The sequence below is a fragment of the Homo sapiens genome, chromosome 1, assembly GCF_000001405.40.
Source record: "Homo sapiens chromosome 1, GRCh38.p14 Primary Assembly".
NCBI classification, from domain to species: domain Eukaryota; kingdom Metazoa; phylum Chordata; class Mammalia; order Primates; family Hominidae; genus Homo; species Homo sapiens.
In genome coordinates, this window is record NC_000001.11 from 217,069,043 (window position 1) to 217,089,178 (window position 20,136).

At 39.0% G+C, this 20,136-nt stretch overlaps 1 protein-coding gene across 37 annotated transcripts in view; it reads right to left on the bottom strand.

Annotated features, from left to right (window-relative positions):
* The window catches only part of ESRRG (estrogen related receptor gamma), a 634,457-nt gene that overhangs the window by 565,797 nt on the left and 48,524 nt on the right, over positions 1-20,136 (bottom strand). For 16 of the 37 annotated variants that reach the window (XM_047449398.1, XM_047449392.1, XM_047449368.1 and 13 more), the window contains exon 1: positions 653-9,245. The exons of 12 other annotated variants lie outside the window; for them this stretch is intronic. The gene's annotated coding sequence lies outside the window, so the exon portion shown is untranslated. Of the gene's footprint in view, positions 1-652; positions 9,246-20,136 lie in introns of those variants that run through there. 9 more of the 37 variants (XM_047449402.1, XM_017000637.2, XM_017000624.3 and 6 more) reach the window with 6 other exon arrangements.

Sequence of the window (20,136 nt, forward strand, 5' to 3'; positions counted from 1 at the left end):
CTGGGTGTGTCTATCAGGGTGTTGCCAAAGGAAATTAACATTTGAGTCAGTGGACTGGGAAAGGCTGACCCATCCTTAATCTGTTTGGGTACCATCTAATCAGCTGTCAGCGTAGCTAGAATATAAAGAAGGCAGAAAAACATGAAAATACTAGACTGGCCTAGCCTCCCAGTCTACATCTTTCTTCCGTGGTGGATCCTTCCTGCCCTCGAACATCTGACTCCAAGTTCTTCAATTTTGGGACTGGAACTGGCTATCCTTGCTCCTCAGCTTGTAGATAGCCTATTGCGGGACCTTGTGATCATGTGAGTTAATACTTAGTAAACTACCCTTTGTATATATATAATAAAGTGTATGTATATAGATAGATAGACAGATATAGAAATATATATATATATACATATATATAGATAGCACCTATTAGTTCTGTCCCTCTAGAGAACCCTAATACAATAATTAAACTGACTTAAGAAGGTTGCCTAACCTTGACTTTAACCTTGGAAATACAAGGACTTTTCATCTTCCTCTTTCCACTCTGACTTATATTGCATCTCATTTCTCATACAACAGTCTAGGGCCTCTCCTCTTTTTCTGGTCCCCTATGCTTACCAAAACCCACATCTTCAAAACAAACATGCAAAGCAGGAAGTACCTCTCAGAAGGGAATTCCGTCTGCTCTACAGAGTGCCAGTCGGCCACATCACAGAAGCAGCAGGCAACTCTCTAGGGAAGACACCATAGTGTCTGGTGGACTCCAGGAAGCTACAGCACAAGAAGGCACAGGATTCCCTCCAGGCCCCAGCCTGGATTCTAAGAAAAAAAATAATGTTGTAAATCACAACCCTCACATCATTCCTTAAAGACCAGATGATGGTGTCCCAGACTCAAAGGCAATAGCAAAACCTACAAAAAATGGTCACCTATTTCCATTTCCCAGGAAGACCCTCATTATATACAAAGATGTGACTCTCCTCCATCCACATGTCCCCAAGTTCCTATAAGTTGATTCTAATTGGAAGAGATCACCAAAGTAGAGAGAAAAATCTTTCTGGGGCAAGGGTCCAGGAAGTGGGGGTAAAATGCAGAGAATGACTCTCATTTTGGCTGTAAGTTGAGGTGATCTTAGGGAAACTACATAACTCAGTTTCTTCATCTGTAAAATTAGGAAGAATGTGGCTTATTTAGTTCACAATACTTTAAAATATCAATTAAGAGAAGTAAAAGCTATTTTAAAATAAAAATCATCAAATAGTATTAAACTCCTAGTATTCTAATATAGATTAATCTAATTTATGTCTATATTTGCAAAAGTACAACAGGAGTTTAGAAAATCTCCAAAGTTAATTTTTTTTTTTTTGAGATGGAGTCTCACACTATCGCCCAGGCTGGAGTGCAGTGGTGTGATCTTGGCTCACTGCAACCTATGCTTCCCAGGTTCAAGCGATTCTCCTGCCTCAGCCTCCCAGTAGCTGGGATTATAGGCATGTGCCACCAGGTCTGGCTAATTTTTGTGTTTTCAGTAGAGACAAGGTTTCACCACATTGGCCAGGTTGGTCTCGAACCCCTGACCTCAGGTTATCCACCCCACTTTGGCCTCCCAAAGTGCTGGCATGACAGGCGTAAGCCACCACTCCAGACCAATGTTAAAATCTGGAAAAGTAAAATAATGCTTTTAACATTGTTTGTCCTCACATAAATGTACCTATACTTCTCTCCATGCCTCTTTCTGTGTCTATATTTTTACATGAATCTCTGTCTCAAAAGATAGCAAAATAGAGTAGAAGAGTTCACTTGATTCGAAGGTAAAATACCACAATGTAAATCTCAATTCCACTATTTCTAGCTGTGTTACCTTGGACAAAATAATGTCTGAAATGGAAATGATGATCCCAGACACTCTACTTCCAGAACTGGTGACCTGTTAAATGAGAGCCACCTACTTCTGCCTTTCTCTTTCTTTCCTTCTCTCCACTTTCTCTTCTTCCTCCTCCTCTTTCTTCTCCTCATTGTCCCATTATTCTTGTCCACCACTGCCATTTCTTCTTCTCCATAAGACAGAATTAAATTTGAGTTCTGTGATATTTCTGTGATTATTAAATAGCAAAATTAAATTGCTTTTTATTGTGATTGCCTTCCATGTTTCTGCTATGAGACTTTTGAATACCCTAGAATAAATGCAGTTATGTATTGGGTCTCTCCTTCATTGCAAAAAAACAAAAAACAAACAAACAAACAAAAACACCTTTCCCACAAGCCCTGCAAATTTTCTCTAACTTAATGAAGCAATATGTATATATGTAGGGAAGTTTATGAATTTGAGGCTTGGCTCTGTCACTTATTAGTCTGTGTGAACTTGGGCAAGTTTCATTTTGGGGGCTCAATTTTCTCATGTATAAGATAGGGGTAAAAATATCTATCTGATAAGAGTAATGAGAGAATTATATCAATTAAGATACTGGTAAAACACATAGCCTAATGCCTGGTTACATGGTAAGTGAACAGTAAGGAGCAGATACTATTATGTGAAAACTAAAAATCAGTTTTATATATTAATGGCACCTTGACTAACTTCAATATTGGCAATTTGTAGGGAGAATTTCAAAATAGGATGTTGCCCCATCAAATAGCTTGGAGACAAAAACCTCCAATAATGTCTAATAGTCACTGAATGCTTACTGTATGCCAGACATTTTCTTGGTAATCTACATGTGTTCATTCATTTCATCCTCAAAACAATCTGATGAAGTGGGTATAACTATTATTCCAATTTCAGATGAGGAAAGAGAGATGAAGAGTAGTTCAGTTACTTCCCTAGGTCATCGCAGATACATGAGCCAGAATTCAAACCCCTGGGGTCTAGTTCTAGAGCTATGATGTAAAGCATTTTCCAAAATCATCTTCCTCCAGGAAAGATGGCATCTTCTAAACCAACTGGTATGTTGCCAGTAATTTGTTACCAGTAATAAAGTACTGGAGCCTGCTGATGATTTTCTTTTTAATTTAAATGGGTGCAGTTGCACTTATAATGTAATTATTGATGTTCAGTAACATTCTGATTTCCTCTCTAGTGTAGAAAAGCAGTGCAATCCAAGCTAAAGCTCTGGAATTACTCAGAGTCCAGTGCTCATCTGCAGTATGTGCATGTCACCCGTCAGCATCAGCATCTCTGTCATCACCACCACAGTTATCATCACCACCATCGTATTATTATATATTGATCACTCTATGCCAGGGATGTGGTGATTCTTCACATATGTTTTCTGTATGTGTTACAGCAGAAGAAAATGTTGAAAACCACTGAGCTACACTATTCCAGAGGCATACTTATAAGACTTTTCTCATAATTCTACCATATACCACTGACCTGAAGAGGGAAAGAAGAGTACAATAATATTACTGGTATTTATTTTGTGTTAATCACTGGAATAGGCATTTTAAATATATAATCTTATTTAATCCTCAAAATAGGCCTAAAATATAGACATTATAGTTATTTTAACCCCAGCTTTACAACAAAGGGAACCACTGCTCAGAATGGCTAAGCATCTTTCCCAAGGATTGCGGAATTTTGAAATTACAGCTTCAGGATTTGAACCAGACCTATAATGATTCTTTTGAGCAGTCCCTTTAAGATAGTTTTACTATTTTCTAAACTGGGGGTGTGTGTGTTTTTTCTCCTATGACACGAGCTGTCTCTTCTGTTATCTATTTATTAGAAAGCAGAAGCCCTCAACAAAGTTCTAGATTGGGAATCTGAAATCGCAAGCCATAGCCCTGGTTTTGCAGCTCATGTGTTGTGTGGGCAACTTATTTATCTATTAAAATGAGGAATTTCATCTCTAGCCTGCTACTTGCTATGATTTCCCTAGAAAAACATGACAAATACCCATTGTCATTCATATGATATCCAGTCATATGATATCTCCCAAGGGCATGTTCTCTGCCCTTGGGAAAGAAGATTGTAGAGAGAAGCCCACTGCACTGATGTGCTTGTTGACTGGAGCATCAGACAAGGGTGGTTAAAAAGAAGGTTGGCTGGGAAGTGTGAGAAAGTCATCCACCTTGCAGCTGTCTCTGCCCGAATAGTACCATGGCTAAATAAGAGTCTCTCTCTAGAGATCTCTGCTGGCACCTTGTCTTCATTCCTTTCTGGACAAAAAAAAAAAAAAAAAAAAAAAAAAAAAAAATCCTCATGAAGAATGTATTGCTTTCTACATGCAACTGCCAAAAACCCAACTGTAGGCAAAATCCATCTTACAGAATCTCTTAACTGCTTTGATTCAGTTCTTAAAGGAGATTAGTTGTTGGAAGGTCACAGAGAAGCCATCCTACTGCACACTGCAGCTTGGAGTTTCAAAGCTTTCACTACTAAGGGGATCTCCGTGCTTGATGCCCCTTCTCTCCATGCTGTTTAATCAATGAATCAACAAATAGTTACTGAGCAAGGCTTCCCTAGGGTCTGCAGGTCACTTCAAATGTGGCTCTCCTGTTCAATAGCAGGAGAAAGAAAAACGGATTTTTCTGACTCCTCTTAAAGTTTCCATTTATAAAACCAGGGCTGGCATCAAAAGACTGTGGGTCTCCTGTCCCTCTTTTTTCATCCCCTGAACCCTCTGATTCACAAGTAAAAATGAAATGTTATGTAGCTGGGACAATATATAAGAGCTGGAAGGGAGGAAGGAAAGAAGGAAGAAAGAAAAGGAGGGAGAAAACAAGGAAGAAAGGAGGAAGAGAGAAAGAGAAGTAAAGAAAAGAGCGAAGGAAAAAAGGGGAGAGAAGAGAAGAAGGGAGGGACACGAGAGAAGAATGAAAGAATGAGACCCTTAGATTTCAAGAAGGGCAAAAGACACAGTGAACATGTAGACAATACTCCCAAGAAATATATCTTTGGTAGCATATACACTCCATACTTACTAGTCTGTTCATTATTACTGCTTTTTAGTATATATGATTATCTTTGTGAACCCCTACTTTAAAGCTTTTAGGATTAGTGTAATTATGAATGCTTTTTTTTTTTTTTTTTGAGACAGAGTCTCACACTGTCGCCCGGGCTGGTGTGCAATGGCACAATCTCGGCTCACTGCAACCTCCACCTCCCAGGTTCAAGCAATTCTCCTGCCTCAGCCTCCCCAGTAGCTGAGATTACAGGTGCCCACCACCGTGCCTGGCTAATTTTTTGTATTTTTAGTAGAGACAGGGTTTCACCATATTGGCCCGGCCAGTCTCAAACTCCTGACCTCAGATGATCCACCCACTTTGGCCTCCCAGAGTGCTGGGATTACAGGCATGAACCACCGCGCCCAGCCATGAATCCCTTTAAATGTCCCTCTGCCTTGACCCTACCAATAGAATTACACATAAAATGTGCATTTAGCCTCAATACCCACAGTATCAGAAATCCACCCCCCCCAAAAAAAAAAAAACTCAACTAGTTTTTCTAAGTAATTTGTATGAAAATTTAAAAAATAATGAATATAAATATTACTTTTGGTTTTTAATAACAGTGTTATATAGGGTAGGTGCAGTGGCTCATGCCTGTAATCCTAGCACTTTGGGAGGCCAAGGTGGGAGGACAGCTTGAGCCTAGGAACTCGAGAACAACCTGGGCAACAAAGCAAGACGCCATGTCTACAAAACATTTAAAAAATTGAGCCCAGGAGTTTAAGGCAGCAATAAGCTATGATTGTGCCACTGCACTCCAGCCCGAGCAACAGAGAAAGACCCCATCTCAAAAAACATACTTTTTAAAAGTAAAACACTATACTATGTTACAAAATGAATCACCATCTCCCAAGTGATGAAAGCTACTGTGATGTACAGTTGTCACTATGACAGGACCAAACAATGGTGTGAATAGTGTCCTCCTCTGTGAAGCACACAGAGCAGGATTCTACTTGATGATATTTTTCCTCAATCAAAAATACAGTCATCTCTCAGTATCCTTGGGGATTGGTTCTGGGACTCCTGCATATACCGAAGCCTAAACATACTCAAGTCCTGCAATCAGCCCTGCTGAACCCACGTACACGAAAAGTCAGCCCTCTGGACATGGGTTTCACAGCCCACAAACACTGTAGTTTTGATCGGTGTTAGGTTGTAAAAAAATCTACCCACAAGTGGACTTGCATGGTTCAAACCCATGTTGTTCGAGGGTCAAGATAATAATGAAACCAGCAACAGTTTACTGGACACTTACTCTGCCAGACACACTGCTGAATACTTTCCATATGTTATCTCATGTAACTCTTTCAGCCAACATTGGTATACATTATTACCCTCACTCTACAGATGAGAATGTGGAAGGTCAGGTAGGTGAAGTCACTTGGCCTAAAAATATTAAACATGGTTAGGTCCAGAGCAAAACCCCAACCCATGTCTGACTCTGAATATTATGCTTCATAATCACCCTGTACCTAACACTTTTAGTCCTATCTTTCAGCTTGGAGAATCAAGGTGAGGAAAAGTAAAAACAGCATATTTTTATTATATTTTACCCCAAACTCCACTTATACTTGGTGTTCCCACACTCGCTTCAAATTGCTCCTTTCCCCCCCCCAACATTAATTACTAGAGTCTATTCTTTTATATCTTTTTGATAAACATAGCTGGTATTAGAATAGAAAACACACCATGAGATCACAGTATTAACCATGATATTCTGAAACATTTTTCAGTCTAAGCATGCAATAAGGCTCTCCAACATCTTAAAAAGATTGATTTTAAAAAAAGCTTAAATATAAGCACTATGTTAACACTTAGCACTTACAGTTCTAAACAAAGAGTTTGCCAGATAAAATCTGGAGTGTATGTAGAGGGGGTTGATGCTTTTACATTTTATTGAGCTTCTAAATTATAACCCTCATGCTTTTTCATGTGCTGATTGGTTCTATTACAGTAGAGGTATTAATAGAAAAATACACACCTGAAATTCTATCATTCAGTATGACACCTGTATATGTACAATGATGCATCTATTCAGAAGAATCTATATGTTAAAAGGAGTTAAAAGAGCCATTATCTTTTGTTCCAGGATGATGCAATTATTTATACCATCTGTATGTGGAAGGAAGTATGGCTCAAGAAACCAGTTCAGGTCTGTTTCACCTTGAAGCTCAGCACACCTAGACAGAGTCCTTTGCTTAAAGTGCCTGTGGTTCCTTGAGACTGTGACTCTGAGCATCTTCATTCCTGCATGCATGCTGTGTACTGACTAGATCCACCTCCAAATCTGGATAAAGACACGGCTATGCTTCCAAATGTCCCCTTTCCCCCCAGATTTGGCTACTAGACATTCCTCACTTAGTTTTTAAAATAAGCATAGCAGATAACAGCACACCAAACAAACCACGAGGTTAGCACTTAACACAGGTACAATTTGCTCATTTTTCTCGGTTGAAGGCAAATTTATGAATACAATCATTTTCACACACTGAAACCACCTCTACCAGAGAAATGCAAATATTATTGTGATATCTGGTCCTCGTAGAACTCAGAAAATATCTGGGTAGATGAAAACTCTGAAGTTAGGACACAGCACTTCTCACAGTATCTGCATGTGCTTATTACCATATGGCAGAAGTTGTTTCTAAAGCAAATAACAGTTTTCAGAAAGACTGAGTTTACGAATTAATCTGGAGACAGGGAGAGAGAGAGAAAAGACAGTTGTACCATTTAAAAGCTAAGGAACGAAATGACCTATTCCTCTTATGTCAAGACTTGAGAACTTCTAGTACGCAATTAGCTTGACCTTCCATAAAGGAAGCCCTGAAATACAGACTTCCTTTTTGTTTCTAAAATAAAGGTACTTACCAGTGAAAATCCACAAGTCACCACACTTTGCCCAGAATCACATTGGCCGCCCTTCTCCATGGAAGCACAGAGTGGGACCTGCCAAGTTTGTGGAGATACCTACTTGGGTTGGTTGGAAATAGGTAAGGGGGGAAGAAGGGGGAGAAAATAAAGACTTTCCCTTTAAAACTGAACAGAAGCTGATACCAAATCACATGACCTTTTACCGTAATTTCTATTAAAATCATTTCATGTCTGGTTGCCTCTGCTCTCCTGGCTCATTTGTATTGTTTACAACAAGTCATTGCACTGGCAGTTAGTGGTGGCTGAATCCATGGTTACCCGTTTTTACATTCACTAGTTAAATGGAATGCAGCTCTGCTGTGGGTTTCAGGGAGCAAGCTCTTAAGAAACCACAATCCAGCTATCAATCAGACTAATCTGAGAGAAATTAATCTCATAAACATAAGTATTGTTGCATATTAAAAATTGATAGAAAGGGGGCATGGGCTTTTATTGGTTGGAGTTAATTGGAGTTATGAAAGTGGACAAGCCGAGATTTGACTTAGAGCCTTAGAGTGTTCAGTCTGTGGTCTCCATCTGACAGCCATTCACATTGTGCACCTAAAAAGCTTTCAAGGGTAATACGACCACCCTTGAAAACAAATCCACCACTTTCCAAAATTCTGTGAGCATTTACTGACCTGAATGTTCTTAGAATCTAGGTAGTGGCTAAATACAGGTTTAACCAGACTGCAATCCTAGCGAAGTAACTTAAACAGATATATACAAGACAGTAAAACACCAAACAGACAGCACTGGGTAGGATTCAATTAAGACAAAACCTCAGTGGAATGCTCTTTACGAGTAAATTAAAACTGCAAACTAATATGTTTTGAGAGCAAGAACAGTACAAATTCATTCTTTTGTCCATGAATTTATGTGGTTAATTCTTTAAAAACATTCCCCAAAGCTAACTTGTTTCTCAAGATGGACATGACCAACAATTACAATTCCTAATAAAAATTTAGAAGTTTTATAGTTTAATGCCCACAGTAATTGTCCCACAAGTCACATCTAAATGCTAAATGAGAACAGCAAATAGTTAAAGCTAACATATTACAACCCCATCTACTGCAAAGTCACTGTATCAGAAGCTAGAATTGATTTGTTTCCTCAGAACAAATTGAAAATGAATGTAACATAACGTCGGAAAAATCCCTCCTGCACTGCTAATCGGATATTGTATAATGGTTGATTGCAGCTTTGCCCTGTACTATTGCTGCCTAAATCATACATACTTACACGTTCTGGGTTCTTCCAAGAGTTTGGTGCAGTTTCAAGGACAAATGTCTTAAGGAAGCCTCTCTACTGTGCAGCAGGGAGCCTGGCTCGGATCTGATGACAAGAGCACAGTGCTAAATCTGACAACAGAGAAGGAAACTTCCTGTGTGAAGAGGAGATCTTGGAAAGTCTCAGGGTTAAAAAGGCTGCTTTAAATGTGCTGGTTGATTTGCTCCCTGGTTGTGTATACACAGTAGCAGCTGATCTGTATTTGCAGCCCTGCAGAAAGGAACCTTTACTGAAAACCAATGGCATCACATTTCAGCAGAGCTGGTGCCAAGTGCTGGAGAGCAGAGCAACCTTTGACAACTTCACACAATTCACCCCAGCAGACTCACCACAGGTCAGAAAGGAATGTGGAAAGTATCTCCCCACCAGGTTTCATCTCAGGTATGTTAGCGCAGTCCCTGGGAAACCACACACTGTTACTGGCTGGATTCTGACAACAGTGTAAGGTATTCTCGGGACTTATACGTAGTTCCTGTCTCTGCTGTCCTGACCTACAGTGTACTATATTTTAACAGAAGCTTTAAAATGAATCAGGATTTTTTAAAATGCATTTCCCTCTGCTTCTTATAGAAACCTTTGTATGTAAGGTTCCTCTGTTTTTCCTCAGAAATAAACTGAGGACAAAATAATGTAAGATCGGGTAGTCTGGTATCAACCTCTGCATTCTGTCTCCCAATGCAGAGGCTGGAGTTTTAACATTACTGTGTTGTCAGGGGCCATTTTAGTATTGTTCTTTAGAAACTGGGGATGGCTGCAAAACTTCACTCCAACAGAACCAACTGTTGTAATGAGCTATAGAGATGTTAGGAACAGACAAGCAATGAAGAACATGAAATATTCCACTGTTTAGCAGTGGAATCACCTTCTTTATTATCATCCTTAACATAGAAGAGAGTGAAAATTCTAGACCTTACCAACTGTAGTAGTGAAAGTTAAGACAGAGTAAGAGACAGAGAAAAAGAGAGAGACAGAGACAGAAGGTAAGGGCGGCTGCTAGTGGCAGTAACAAATTTAATTCAAGTCATTGGTTAACCACTTCATTAACTGTGAGTTCCTCACTGTCCTTCCTTTCTCTTCTGTCTCTATGACAAGTCCAGGTTATGGTATATTATATGGTATTTTTCACTATTGTGCTTTTTATTTCAAAGGCCAGAAATCAGAACTGACAGTTTAACAAAAGACCATGTTAAATGTGTCAGGTAGCACGGGAGAATGTTCCCTTACTTATCTGAAAGCCAGCCCAGGAGCTGCCTGGGCAATTGGTGAATTATCCAAGGTGTTTGCTTTTCATTTTGGCCACACTATTGTTTAGGAATAATGATAATTCCCTTACATCTGAGAGTCCACATAATGTAATGAATAGACTCTGGGCTCTGGTGCCAAGTAGATCTAACTTCCTATCTCTACCACTTTCTACCTACATGAGGTTGGAGTTTGCTTAAAAATCTCCGAACTTCTGTTTCCTCATCTGTGAAATGGAGACACTATAACTACCATACACAATTTTTTGTGAAGTTTTAAAGAATAACACATGTCAAGGGCTTACCACAGCGCCTGGCACGCATGCATTTACAAACATTTACTGAGCCTCCTCTCAGAGCCAGGCACAGTGCCAGACACTGGGGGCACAAAGTCAATTAAGACATGGTCTCTACCCTCAAGTGCAGTTCCACAAGTGTTACATATTTCCTCCTTCCCTCCCATAATTTGTGCAGTCTCTGTTTAAATGCTCTGTTTCATTTGATCCTTCCAACAGTCCTATGAGATAGATGAAGCTACACCCAGTTTACTAATGGGAAAACTTTGGCTTGAAAGTGAGGGTCACACAGCTGGTAAATTGCAGCCTAAACATCAATCCAAGCTTTCTGATTCTGTCAAGTTCTCTTTAAGATATATATAAATATATATGAATTGACCACATAGCATTCATATTTTGCATTATTAGATATTATACTTGCTATCTTCACAGTGTCACGTATACATATAATGCACTTCCCTGCAGGTAGCATACGTCCCTTAAAGAGAGGTACTATATGTTAAAATTACTTTATATTCTCAAACAGGCTTAGCATGATGTTAAAGATATTACCTGTTTAATAAATTTTCCTAAATTGAAAAAAACTCAAGTTGGGTCAATTTTACTACCCAAAATCGTCCTCACAGAAAGCTGGAATCCTTCAATAAATGATGGTTTGGAGGTTATATGTGGCCTTCCAGTGCTCATGCTGTCTATGTCATTACTTCCAACTCATTATATACATGTCAAAGTTCTTAACACTGACTCATCATCAAACTCCCTGAAGATTGTTTTCTTCATTTGTTTAGCACGTATCCCGTACACTGTAGCCCTGATGAATTCTGGTAAAAGTGATTAAATATTTACTTTTTAATTCAAGCCTGACCCGAAGACATCTCTTGATTTCTGGGTCCACTCCAGTTTCTAGTGTTTTTTTGTTTGTTTGTTTGTTTGTTTGTTTTGTTTTTTTGGTTTTTTTTTTTTTTTTTTTTTTTTGAGACAGAGTCTCGCTCTGTTGCCCAGGCTGGAGTGCAGTGGCGCCATCTTGGCTCACTGCAAGCTTCGCCTCCCGGGTTCACACCATTCTCCTGCCTCAGCCTCCCTAGTAGCTGGGACTACAGGCGCCCGCCATCATGACCAGTTAATTTTTTGTATTTTTAGTGGAGACGGGGTTTCACCGTGTTAGCCAGGATGGTCTCAATCTCCTGACCTCGTGATCCGCCCGCCTCGGCCTGCCAAAGTGTTGGGATTACAGGCGTGAGCCACCGCGCCTGACCCCAGTTTCTAGGTTTAACAGTTCACAAAAGTGTAGAGTTTTGTTGATCATTATCTTATAAATCAGAGCACAGTATCCAGCAATCTTGGGTAGAGTTTGCTTTTTATACATATATAATCTGTACAACAGCTCAAATTTCTTAAATAATTATTGATCTACTGCTTCATTTTATGCATTAAAATGTAACCCATTTCTGATGGAAGGGTTGATTAGATATTTATCAGTGAATTATAGATAAAAATATTCTTTTTTTTTTTTTTTTTTTTTTTGAGACAGAGTTTTGCTCTTGTTGCCCAGGCTGGAGTGCAATGGCACAATCTCGGCTCACCGCAACCTCCGACTCCTGGGTTCAAGTGATTCTCCTGCCTCAGCCTCCCGAGTAGCTGGGATTACAGGCATGAGCCACCACGCCCAGCTGATTTTGTATTTTTAGTAGAGATGGGGTTTCTCCACGTTGGTCAGGCTGGTCTCGAACTCCCGACCTCAGGTGATTTGCCCACCTCAGCCTCCCAAAGTGCTGGGATCACAGGTGTGAGCCGCCGTGCCAGGCCAAAAATATTCCTAAAAGACATATGTATGGTATCTAGAACTTGGATTTCAACGAATGTATTACATTCATTAGTTCTTTTTGTTTGGTTGGTTGGCATTTTTTAGAGATGGAGCCTTGCTATGTTGCCCAGGCAGATCCCACCTCCAGGCCTCAAATAATCATCAAGCCTTACCCTCCCAAGTAGCTGGGATTACAGGTGTAAGCCACAGCACCCAGCACTTACTATGTGCATTAGTTCTAATCTTGTACCCTGGGCATATTTTAAAATAGAATTTATAATACTATTTCTAAGTATTTACTACCAAACATTGATTCCTCCAGCCTTAACAAAAATCCAGGAAATTTTGATTAATAGCAACGTCATGGCAAAAGTGCCAATGACAGGCGATATTTGAGATAAAGAACACAATTACTGAATACATTTTTTTTGTTTCCAAAGTCAGTCACTTGTTTGTTTAGACAAGCTGTGGCCATCTGTAAGGGAAAGTAAATATGCTCAAGCACTGGCACTGCATACGTGAGAATTGTCAGTCTCACTACCATCTTCTATGTCCAGCTGCCCAGCTGCCCTGCAACTACTTCAGGGAGAAACTAGCAGGTGCCCAGCAACTACTTCCTGCTTCCTCCCTGAAGTAATATGTAAAGTACCAACCACAATGCTTGTTCTACAGTAGACAAGAAATGTACCAACCGAAGACCACTCTGGAGCTGAGCAAATTCACCTCAGAATGGCCAGATCTGTTCAGCACAGAGAACTGGTGGACCCAGTGACTCTTCTTCACCACCTGAAACCAAGTAACTTTACCATTTATAAGCACTTTTATAGCCAAGAGTCTGACTCAACTCTCATATCCATCTTGAGAAGCAGATGCTTTTATTATTCACATTTTTATAATTATAAAGGTTCAAAGAGTTAAAATTAAATAATTTCTCAAAATCATACGGCAATAAGTGATCCAGTAGAGATTTTGAAATGAGAGCTCTAATTCCAAAGCCTTTTCTCATAACACACTGTCCTTTCCCTTCAGGGGATACGTGCACACACTAGTTTGCCTCTTTTTCCTTTTGGCTTCACATCTCACAGCTCAGTTAAGTACAGACAAGGCTATTCCCCACCCTTATCCCCATCCCTCACCCCCACCCCACACACACACACCTCACCCTCTTCTTCATCCAACTGCTTCCGTTTTTCCTTCTCTCACAACTTGGCCAACTACTTCAGAGAATAGCTTTTTTTCTATCTCCATTTTTCCTCACTCCCCCTGTTCAATGAATTTAGGTGTTAAAAGCCATATCTTATCACAAGTGATAAACTTAGAAGTACTGCTAATATTTCAGTATATCAGGGAAAGAAAAGCCATATACTTTGCAACCAGCCTCAAAGAGTCCCGAAAGTTTCTAAGAATCCCTTTCAGATACTCTGCAATCATTTCTGTCTCTTTTAAACTTCCTGTTATATGTGCTTTCTTTTAAACACCAACCATCGCAAGTCTAGATAAATGATAAACTCTCATTCTGTTTTACTGCCTTTGTATTATGCTTATCACTTGTATCATAATAGAACTGTTCTTTACATTTTGTTCATCACTGATAATACACTATTTCACTCCAATAAGCAACAAAGGGCTTGTATGGTCTAGCGTAGGAAACTAATCAGAATTTAAGATTGTTTTCTGCAAGACCAAAAAAACAAAGTGTTTTAAATATCTACTAATTGGTTTACAATGGAAAAATTTTAATGCAAACCAGACTCTAAATTTCATGAGGCTTTCATTCGAAACCACAGATACTGAGCTCATTTACTACTCGGTATACTAATATTTCTAGTCATGGCGTAGGGCCATACTTAAGTAAATAGTTAGTTTATAGAAAGGAAATAAATAGGCTTATGATTAATTGATTGATCATTATCAATCATGCACTAAACTCAGAATCGCAGGGGTGAAGTAAGTTGGAGACCATGGAGTCAAACCCCTTCATTTTAGAAATGAAGAAACAAAGGTTCACTACTGCCCTCTGATGAAGTGGGTAACTAGCTCATACTACAAACCCAGCTTAGCACCATTTCGAGTGACCTTTAGCTGAGGACTGACATCTGCTAGTATGCACATTAGCTACAAAGAGCACAGTTCTAACTTTGAAGGTGATTGGGCCAAAGCATCATCAGGTATTATATCCCAATTCTGCAACCTTAGGAAAATAAATGTTCATACTAAATAGAAAATGAATTTCTAATAACTGAATTAAACTGTTCATCTAAATAGCCAACTTCAGATTTCTCTCCACACATAATAACTTGGAAAAATATATAGCCCATGTTTACTATAGTACTATAGCTACAGTCTCTAAGAAAAGCTATAACTTGCTAACAATTTTCCTGATTTATGTTTGAAAACATACAGGGCATGAAATGATTTCTGCAACCTTACATTTTCCTCAAGAACACTGGTGAGCAGAAGATATATTCCAAAAATCACGTGGGATTGCTTGCTACATCTACTTCTTTCATAGAAATGTATGATAAGCAATTATACATGCTCCACCAAAAAAAGTCATTAGGTTTTTTTCCCCATTAAGGGAGGAAAGAAGAAAAATGGAAGAATGGATTAAAAAAAAAAAAAACGAGAAACAGGAAAGAAAGAGGAAGGAAGGGAGGGAACTCTGACAATAGGATCTATTTTCAAATAATGTTTACAATGTAAAAACTGATTGCCTCCTTAAGGAAGAAAGTGCAATAAATATTCTTCTAAAGAACAGCTTGTAGATAATGTATGGTTATAAACTGTAACTCACTATACAAATGTTAGTTATTCTTGTTGTGAGTATTTTACATATATGGAAATTTGCTTACAACCTATAAGTGTGCTAATAAAAATAGGTATTTGTGAATATAAATTACACTGGTCATAAAATCAGACTTATTAATCTAATATATCTTAGAATGAGACCAAACTTAAATGAGCCACTCTATAACGTAGATATCTGGAAATATGGTTTATCCTATTCCATTAGTATCTATCAGAATAGGAATGCAAAAGTTTTGCTATACTTCACATAATGTTGGCAACCTGAATTTAAATCTTCAAACTAGTAAACAATCACTGTCAGGCATGCATATTGTCCAAGTTAAAAAAAATTTGTTTGTATAGGGAAAGTAAAATGAGCAAATTCATTTGTTAACATCCTTTTAAGTGTCCAGGTTATTTATTTTAGCAGATACACCATAAGAAACAGCCATATAAATAAATAAAATATCTTTGACTCCCCAGTATCTTGCATGTTACCACAGGTACTCCAAACACACTCAACCTTTTTTGTGTGTGTGATAACTATGATCATTACCTTGTTTAAATGAACAAAGTATCCTTCATAATAAAAATGTAAATAAAGGCCTGATTTAAAACTATAAATGATTATTCTTCACAACTATAGGTATTATCAAGCATAATATTATAAATATACTAATAAACATCTGTATATGGTATACATGTCCAAGAGGAACGGGAGATGAGATTTATCCCCAATACAGTGCAGGGGGCAAGCTAAGGAGAGAGTGGCCTTTCACAATGGGTTGTGAATCAAGGATGAGTAAATGAATGGTATCTAACCTCCAAGAAAAAGAAAACTTCCTTCTCTGTGTGAGAGACATAAAGAGTTGCAATAATTTCACAGAAATTTTTATCAGGAACATACTACCAAGAATTTTTGCTTCAAGGTTTGCAATAATTTTTCTAGTTCTCTGAACCATAAGGCTGTGTGTATTGACCTTCTATTTCAAAAAGCTGTGTTACTTTCTGCAATCATCTCTTAAAAGAAGGCCCCGTGGGGCTCTGGCTCTCCCTTTTGGCACCACCACTAATTCCAATACAAACGTCGTATTATAGATTAGGTTCAAAATTATCTAAAGATTGTTCTGGAGAAAGATTTTTTTTTTCTTTCTTTTTCTTTTCTTTTCATTTTTTTTTTTTTTTTTTTTTTTTTTTTTAGACGAAGTCTCACTCTGTCCCCAGGCTGAAGTGCAGTGGCGCCATCTCGGCTGACTGCTATCTCTACCTCCCGGGTGCAAGCCATTCTCCTGCCTCAGCCTCCTGAGTAGCTGGGATTACAGGTGCGCACCACCACACCCAGCTAATTTTTGTATTTTTGGTAGAGACAGGGTTTCATCATGTTGGCCAGGATGGTCTCAATCTCCTGACCTCGTGATCCACCCACCTCAGCCTCCCAAAGTGCTGGGATTACAGGCATGAGTGAGCCACTGTGCCCAGCCGAGAAAGATCTTTAAACTCTCCTACAGCACCACACGCTCATCCACTAGCATGAGAGGGTGAGAACACATAGAACTTACTTATAATTCTTTGCTCTGATTCCTAAAGCCTACTTACTCTACTGGGATGGCAGTGCCAACCTAAAAACTGAATTGCAAAGCCGTATGATTTCACAGCTTTAACAAACTGACAACAAAGTGACAAGAGAAAACTTCTTCCTTTGCACAAGAAGTCCCGGTACATTATTTTGACTTTATGAAGATATTTTAAATGAATTTTTAAAAATCACAATATTATGAAACTTGATAATCATTACTTCAAAACGACAGACTCTATTGTTCATGGAAAAATTTTCAGTTGGTTTTATCATACCCGTGGTTCAATTGAAAGATTCACCAACTGCTCCCTGGAGAAAAGAGAAGATCTGCATTTAAATGGATATATAGTATTTCCAAAAGCACAGTACCTAGAAGGCAGATACCATCAAGGTTTCTTAGTGAGAATAACTCAAATTGTATTAGGTACATTTCAATGCTGTAGCTATCCCCATTTCATAGGGCTCAAATTATATCCATAACATGCTTTTTCCTCTGTGCATTCTTCATAATATTGTCTTGAAAAGTTTAAATTAAAGCTTGCTCCATCACAAAGTCCTCGCACTAACAACAAACAACTACTACTGTACGCATCATTTCTGATGTGTACAGAAAAAGACCACAGAAGATAGCTTGGCCAGAAATGTTAAATAATTGAAAAGTATAATGACTTAATAGAGTAGTAAGCTTAGTTTACAATGCAGCCAATTTAAAGCCATAAAAATACCGTGTAAAAATTTTATCTTGTGGTTGACCATTACATAACCTATCTATTATTCAAAAGTATCTCAACAGTGTTTTTCTTCATTAATGTGGCTTTTGGCATTTCCCTCAAAATCTTTCTATTCCCACATTTTTCCAACAATTTTGAAACAAATACAGAATTTCTATATTATATCACAAATCCCCTTTACTAGGATAATGACACCTTCGGTGTCTAATTGAAACCAATTTCATAGATCAATCTGTAAGGCATACTTTAACCTCCTTGGATATGATTTGTTTTGCATCTAACAGAGTCAAACACACAAGACATTTTTTTTTTAAAAGACTAAAGCTACTTGTATTGACACATCTGTAAACAAAAGGAGAACTTCATAAATAACCCCCTTTCCAATGACACACTCATCCAAGGATTTGTCTGCATTAGAAAATGTCATAGGGCATCAGAAAAGTTTTCTCTTGAGTATTCAGGTAAGGTGCATAGCATGTCTGTGCAGAAGAAAAAAGAGACACTTAGGATCCATTTCAAACATAAGCCCATTACCTCTGGCGGGCTTTCGCTAAAATTCTAGCTGCAACTGAAATGTCCCTGTAAACAAGGTTACTGAGAACAGCCCCAGATATTCCTCTCAGCAACACTTTCCTAGGAGCCCTTCAGCTGTCTGCCGGGTTAGTTATACCTTATCTTGCTGCACTGCCATTCTCATGCTGATTCACATTCAGAACTCAAAATGAAAGCTGAAATATCTTGAAGATCACTTAATATTGAAATACTGTTGCGGTAATAAGTGGTGCTCAGTCAGAGATGGGAACATGGTACTCTCTTGGTAACCTTTTAATTTCTGGAAAAATTGTACAGAATAAATTGAGCAGCACACACGGAAACCTAATCGATTGATCTGCTCTATTTTGTTAAAGCAACACCCATCACAAACTCCCCTGGCTCCCCAGGCAATTCCCGGTAAAGAAGACCAGCAGGTTTCAGTATATACCATGCACGAGGACTTTGATGCTATTTTGATTTATTAAAGAAAGGGAACAATCTTCTATCTCCATTCATCACCCCAGTCAATGGACAGTTTTATGTGCTATGTGATACCATTCTCGATATACACACGTTTAATTCTACTTAATGCGAGTTTAAAGAGTTATGAGAATTGCTTTAGTAAGAATAACAAAGCCATGCGTAACAGACAAATGTACGCTTAAATGATCATCCAGGCCTGCTTCCTTATATACTTGATTCTTTTTCTATTTGAAGGAGATGAAACCTCATCAATGTCACTTCGTCTCCATCAGTGTTTTCATGTCTCTTCTTCCTGTCAGGCATTCCTCAGCTCGGGATTTGAGAAATGTTCAAATTTCCCTCTATTTCCCACAATGACAGAACTGTTTCTCAGGTTGGTTAACTCATTTTGACAACATCAAATCTGCTGGACAGGAAAAAAAAAAAAGAGAGAGAACCCTGAAACCACTCCTCAATCCCATTTTTCTGTCTTTTTCTCTAAGACATTTCCGACTCTTTTTCTCTCGCCTGCTGCTTCTGAATTTGGGCATTTTCCAAACACACTCCCCTATTTGGTCTTTGGGCAGTGTGAGAAACAAATGAGAGTTTCTCTTCAAAACTAGACCAAGTCATTCAGCTGCTCTGAAACATACTTCACAACATCCGCAGGTCTCTTGATCTTGACTTAAAGTATTAGGCAGGAGTGTTTTGAAAGTAGTAGGAGGTCATATGGACCTAACAGCTTCTCTTAACCCACATGCTGAGAATTTCTTTTTTTCCTGTCTTTTTTTTTTTTTTTTTTTTTTTTTTTTGAGAGAGAGAGAGAGAGTGCTATTTTCAACATTGCCCTCTGGTTTATGTTAGTGAAATCATTTGCTTTCTGTGTGTGTCTGTGTCTTATTGCATGGCCACTGGTTCTGGTACTACAACACAAACATAGCAAACGTGCTTCCCTAACATAAGCAGACCCATGTGGCAATTCACAACATAACCGAGACAAGCACAATAAATAAACACATACATAATCATTCCACAGCACTGAGGCAGGCGGGGGTTTCTACAGGCCCTTCCGGACTCTTCCAGAATTGCTCATTAAGATTCTGAAAGGGGGAGAGGGTGCAGCTTGGAAAAGGTTGCCGGAAGGGAAAAGAAAGGGAGGAGGGGAGCTTTGCCCTCTGTGTCTTTCTGTCTCTGAGACTCTCCCATCACCAAACAAGGGGTGCAGGGGTCTATCCTGCAGAGGCTCTAACAGACTTGAGGGGTAGAAGGAGGTAGATGGTTTAAAATAGTTAAATGATGATCGGGTGACCTCCGTGCAACTTCAGCGACTCCCTCGGGAAGGTGAAAGGGTTGGGGAGAGAGAAGGGAGGGAAAGCAGCGTAGAGGACAGGAGGGAGACACCTAGGACTACAGCAGCAGCAATCACCAGAAGGATTTTCCAGCCCATGACAGCAGTCCTCAACTCCTGGCACCACCCTCTCCCCCAACGACCCCTGCTCCATATCCCCTCACCCTAACCCCTCCCCTCCCAGCGCCCTAACTCTGCCCTCACTCTTTGCCACTT